Below are 6,144 nucleotides of genomic sequence, written 5' to 3' on the forward strand. Positions count from 1 at the left end.
CTGTCTAATCCATTAGGTAGAAATAAGGCTTAACAACACTGAGTATTGGTGAGAATGTAGAAAAATAGAAAGTTTTAGAAAATCCTGAGGGGAGAGCAATTGTTAGAATTTAGAAAACTGAAAATGTCCATGCCTTAATAATTAGCAATATCAACTTCATTTATTATAGAGAAATATTTGTACATGTGCACAATGAGATCTGTCTAATAAGGATGTTCACTACAGTACTGTTGGTAATGGAACAAAAAAAGGAAACACACCAAAATTCAATTGATGAATGTTTAAATGCATTGTGATATTTAAGTGTAATGAATTCTAATAGAGTAGCTAAGAGAAACAAACTACATATATATGCGTATCAACACAGATAGAACTAAAAACATACTATTGAATGAAAAATAGCAGAATAATGAATATAGAATTCTAACATTTTTATATGCTTTAAACATGCCAATAAATATGATATAGGGTTCATAGCTACATATGTAGAAGTATATAAAAGTAAACAAAAAATATTCAAAATATACATACTAAATTCATGATAGGAGTTACCTCTGTGGGAAGAGAATAAGAGGAATAAAATAAACATGGTGGATGAAGGGAACTTTAATTTAATTATTTTATTTATTTTATTTTCAGACAGAGTCTCACTCTATTGCCCAGGCTGTAGTTTAGTGGTGTGATCTGGGCTCAGAGCAACCTCTGCCTCCTGGGTTCAAGCAATTCTTGTGCCTCAGCCTCCTGAGTAACTGGGATTACAGGTGTACACCACCACGCCTGGCCAGGAATTTTAATTCTATCTGTAGTTTAACATTTTAAAAGACCAAGCAAATATAAGTTACAAATAATTATAAAAAGTATATGTGTGCATTATATTACTTTTTAATTTCTGAAAGTAAAAATTGTGATAAAATAAGATAAAATAGGTAAATTGGCAAAAAAGCCAAAGTTGATAACTCATGGAAGAAAAAAATGCAAATAACCAAAAAGCATAGGAAAAAAAAAACATAATTAGTAGTCAAGGAAAAAGGTAATAAAGAACAATTGTTGCTGTATTTGTTTAGTCACAAAAATAATAATTGTTATTGTCCATAAAGATATGAAAACTTCTTATATTGCTTGGGGTGGTTTAAATTAGCAAAATCTTTTGAGGATCAGTTTTTAAAATATTTCAAATAACCAAATAGTCACATCCTTTGAGTCAGCTATAAAAACATATAATGAGAAAAAATTAAGCTATTAAAAAAGATTTGTATGTAGAATGTTTATGGAAATGTTATTCATGATCGTTTAAAATTAGAAACAAAATAAGTCTCTAATAAGTATTGTACAACCGCATGATAGAATACAATGTAACCATTCAAAATCCTGCTGTGGAGTGGTGTGGAAAGTTTACTAATGTACTAGATGTTACTATATAGCAGGTTTAGATATATTTATATACACATATGTATTTTATATTATATGTATGTGTGTACATAGTGTGTGTGTGTCATGTATGTGTCATTAACCAGAGGTGGACTGACTTGCTTGAAGCTTTTAAACACTGTAGAAAAGAATCACTATTTTCTTAGAATTGTTTCTAGAGATCCAATGCATATGATCGTAGTAAGAAGCAAGTCTTCACACATTCTAAAGAGAAGTCCCCATGTTTGCAGCTAGGCCATTCTTTCAAGACTCATCAAGAGGTAAATGAATTTGTCCTGTAATCATAACCCCATCACCGTGTATGCGGAAGACTAGAAATTTGAGAATGTATTAGTGAATAGTTATTGCCCCCATCATTGGATGGCAGTGCTTTCCACCGCCCCTAATGTTCTACCCACTCACCCATAAGTTGAGTGAGGAGAGCTCTGAAACAATGTCACAGTCCATTTTGTGCTGCTATAACAGATTATGTGAGACCGGGTAACTTATAAAGAACAGATATTTATTCTCTCATGGTTCTGGAGGCTGGAAAATGCAAGATCAAGGTGCTGGTGTCTGATGAGGGCCTTCCTGCTAGATGCTCACATGGGAGAAGGCTGAAGGGTTAGAGAAGGTGAAGGTGGTGTTCTCACATGGCAGAAGAGCACATTAGAGCAAACCCATTCCCACAAGCTCTTTTTATAGCAGCATTAGTTCACTCATGAAGGTAGAGCCCTCCTGACCTAAACCTCTCTCATTAGGTCCCACCTCCCAGTGCTGTTGCTTCAGGTAGTAAGTTTCCAACACATTAATTTTGGGAGACACATTCGAGCCATATCAAAGTCTCCCATTAGGTCCCACCTCCCAGTGCTGTTGCTTTAGGTAGTAAGTTTCCAACACATGAATTTTGGGAGACACATTCAAACCATATCAGAGTCTGAAAGAAGGGGAGTCTGGCATTGCACCCCTGGCTGCAACCTTGCAGAGCATCTAAATCCAAGAGCTCATCGGCATGCATTCACCAGAACTGGAAGCAGTGAACTGGTTCTAGGCTGAGTCTGACAACAGTCACAGGGAGTGTGAGAGCATCCATGAAGGTTTCTTCTTGCCCAGAAAATACTGCAGTGAGTGTCTTATTTAATTAACTCAGCCCATGGTGGCAGGGTGAAGAGAAGGGGAATGGACACATTAAATTTCCCATGCCGGGGTTAAGTGAGTGTGCATTTGTTTTAAAACATAGGTTGTATTACTACTCGGTATGATGAGGCCAACAGATGAAGAGGTAACTGCTGTTGAAAAGATACTTTGTTACAATGTCCAAGAGGAGGAGACACACCACACCACACCACACAGGGACACTTAGGGAATCACACCAGAGTCAGTCAGGAGACAGAAAGAGTCAGGGAAAACTGTGAGCAGGAGCTTTTATTGTGGTTTCTGCGGGAAGGATTGGGAGAGGCAGGGTAAGTAGATTCAGCCTTAGCTAGTTTGAATAATTTCATCAGGCTCTGGGGCATAGGGGCTGTCCCTAGTTTTCTGGGACCTGTCCTTGGGTGACTAGGGCAGACAAAGAGTGGTCCCTGAGTGTGAGAGTCCAATAGAGGAGGTGGAGAGGTGTGAGAAAGCTGGATTGGCTAGTTTGCATATGAAAGGCACACTCTGGGGCCAGTTCTTTACTTTCTTTAGTACTTGGCTAGTCCTGGGAGGGGCAGTATCTCTAGCGTCAGCAAAGCCACAAGATGTCAAAACATCAGAACTACAGAACATAAAAAGCCATGACTAATAGAGCATTTGAAGAAAAGCATCAGGGGCCTATCTTCCCCAATGGAAGAGAATGAAGTGAGAATTCCTGTAGGGACTTTCAGAGAGCCTCTCTCTACACCCCCGGAAGGTGCCCTCACATGGATACGCGCCATACAGAGGACACCTATGGCCAAGCCAGAAGGCAAAGAATATTTAGTGACAAGTTCTTGCCTTTTCCCTCTAATTTTGCTTCTTTGGCCTGGCCCTATCCTCAGGGAAACAGGGAGCAGTAGAGCTATGAGAAGAAGGAGGATGGAAATGGAAAGAGAATGGGGGAGTGAAAAGGGAATATGGTGCCACACCCACTGCCCACGCCCAGTGCTTATCCTTAGGGTGTAATGCGGGCCTGAGGCCTGATTTGAAGGAAACTGAGAAACTGTATTGCCTGTGAGATTGAGCTTGTTCTTCTTTTCCTTTGTGTTTGTTACTTTTTTAAATTAAAATACACATAATATTTATAATTTCAACCATTTGCAATTATACAATCCAGTGGTGTTAAACTCAGTGGTGAATTTTCCTCCTAGAAGTATAGTTTAGCTGGTATGAGAATGTCTCATGACTAAAAGGGACCAGAAAGGTTTGACCTATTCAACACGTTACCACGAGGCAGGAAAGGAAAGGATGGAGCCACACTGAGCATCTTCATCACTAAAGAGGAATTTTTGTGGTGTGGTGGAGTCACTCCAGCCTAGCTCTAAATGATCTAGTTGTCCAGATGATTCACTTCCTTTTCCTCTTCTTTGTGTTCACCAAGGCCCCCTTTGATCAGAGGTTATGCTTGATAGGTGCACCACAACTTGAGCTGGCATGCGTGGAAAATAAACTTAAGCATCTGTAATTCTTCACATTGTTATAAATAAAGTTTCGGTGCCACAAAAGAAATAGTGCTCGATATAAAATTTTCCTTCTCAGCAAGGCAATGTACTTCTATAGAAGGGTGCGCCCTTACAGACGGAGCAATGGTGAGCACACACTTGGACAAGGGAGGGGAAGGGGTTCTTATCCCTGACACACGTGGCCCCTGCTGCTGTGTCATTCCCCTATTGGCTAGGATTAGACCACACAGGCTAAACTAATTCCAATTGGCTAATTTAAAGACAGTGACAGGGTGAGTGGTTTGGCGGGAAGCAGAGCAGGAAATCAGAATGAGTCAGGGTGGAGAATGAGTCAGGGCAGAGCAGGGAATTGGAATGAGTCAGGATGGAGGAGGTAATTGAAAAAGGTTGCTTTACGAGGAAGTTAAGTTTAAAAGTAGAAGGCAAAGAATTGAACATACTGACATATTGATTCTTTGAAGAGAAATTTAGAACTCATATCTAACATTATTGCTCTGCCATTCTAAATGATTTTATCGGCTTCATGTGCTTTCACTGAGCATCATTTAAGCAAGCAAGAAATACCTTTTCTAGATATTCCATTAAAGTCCAAGGTCTGGATCTGGTGATGTAGAAGTGACTAGGAACTGCCTCCAGTCATTTTTTTTTTTTTTTTTTTGAGACGGAGTCTCTCTCTGTCGCCCAGGCTGGAGTGCAGTGGCGCAATCTCAGCTCACTGCAAGTTCCGCCTCCCAGGTTCACGCCATTCTCCTGCTTCAGCCTTGCGAGTAGCTGGGACTACAGGTGCCACCACCACGCTCGGCTAATTTTTTGTATTTTTAGTAGAGACAAGGTTTCACCGTGTTAGTCAGGATGGTCTCGATCTCCTGACCTCGTGAGCCACCCGCCTCGGCCTCCCGAAGTGCTGGGATTACAGGCGTGAGCCACCACGCCCAGCCACCTCCAGTCATTGAACCATGGCACCAGCAGGGTTCCTTGGGCACATCTCCAATAGCAATTACTCTATCTCACCATGAGAGGTCTGTCTTCTCTCTCCCTTTCTTTTTTTTTTTTTCCTTTTGAGACAGGGTTTCGCTTTGTTTCTGTTGCCCAGGCTGGAGTAAGAGGTGCAATCATGGCTCACTGAAGCCTCAATCTCCTGGGCTCAAGCAGTCCTGTCTCAGCCTCCTGAGTAGCTAGAACTATAGGAACACACCACCATGCCCAGCTAATTTTAATTTTTTTTGTAGAGATGGGATCTCACTATGTTGCCCAGGCTGGTCTTGAACTCCCAGGTTCAAGTGATCCTTCCACTTCGGCCTTCCAAAGTGTTGGGATTGTAGGCGTGAGTCTCCGCACCTGGCCTTGTATTATTTTCCAACTTAGATGTCTCTACATCAGAGCTACCATATTCTCAGAGTCAGTCACGGTGTAGCACTGTTTCTTACATATGGTGCCTACTCAGGAATTACTTACTGCATTTCACTGAATAGAATGTTTCCTAGATGTTTTTCTCAATTCATTGCATCAAAAGATTACCCACTACCTCCTTGTGGTCTGAGTCCTCTTCTTTCTGGAAGTAGTTCATCCTCAACCAGCTAAAGGTCAAAATATCTCCTGCAATTAGTGATCCCCTGACAGAGGGGCCTTTGATGCGCTTTTTATTTTTAGATGGAGTCTCACTTCTTTGCCCAGGCTGGAGTGCAATGGCGTGACTTCGGCTCACTGCAACCTCCACCTCCCAGGTTCAAGCAATTCTCCTTCCTCAGCCTCCCAAGTAGCTGGGATTACAGGCATGTGCCAGCACGCCTGGCTCATTTTTTTATTTTTAGTAGAGATGGGGTTTCACCATCTTGGCCAGGCTGGTCTCAAACTCCTGATCTCAAGTGATCTGCCCGCCTTGGCTTCCCAAACTGCTGAGATTACAGGTGTGAGCTGCTGCACCCGACCTATGAACTTCTTTTCCTTTTAAAAATTATTTTTAAAAATTGAGATATAATTCGTGAACCATAAAATTCACCCTTTTTTTTTTTTTTTTTTTTTGAGATGGAGTCTTGCTCTGTCACCCAGGCTGTAGTGCAATGGCGCTATCTCAGCTCACTGCAACCTTCGCCTCCCA

The 6,144-nt window shown here is 41.2% G+C and overlaps 1 annotated feature.

Moving 5' to 3' along the window:
* Nucleotides 3,752-4,951: an enhancer, noted in NCBI's record as "P300/CBP strongly-dependent group 1 enhancer chr17:13250372-13251571 (GRCh37/hg19 assembly coordinates)". NCBI's record gives its function as "activates an origin of replication core promoter dependent on BRD2, BRD4, P300/CBP, MED14 and CDK7 cofactors, with strong dependence on P300/CBP, by STARR-seq in HCT116 cells {active_cell/tissue: HCT116}" and the evidence as "EXISTENCE:reporter gene assay evidence [ECO:0000049][PMID:35650434]".

This window comes from Homo sapiens, chromosome 17 (genome assembly GCF_000001405.40).
Source record: "Homo sapiens chromosome 17, GRCh38.p14 Primary Assembly".
NCBI lineage: Eukaryota > Metazoa > Chordata > Mammalia > Primates > Hominidae > Homo > Homo sapiens.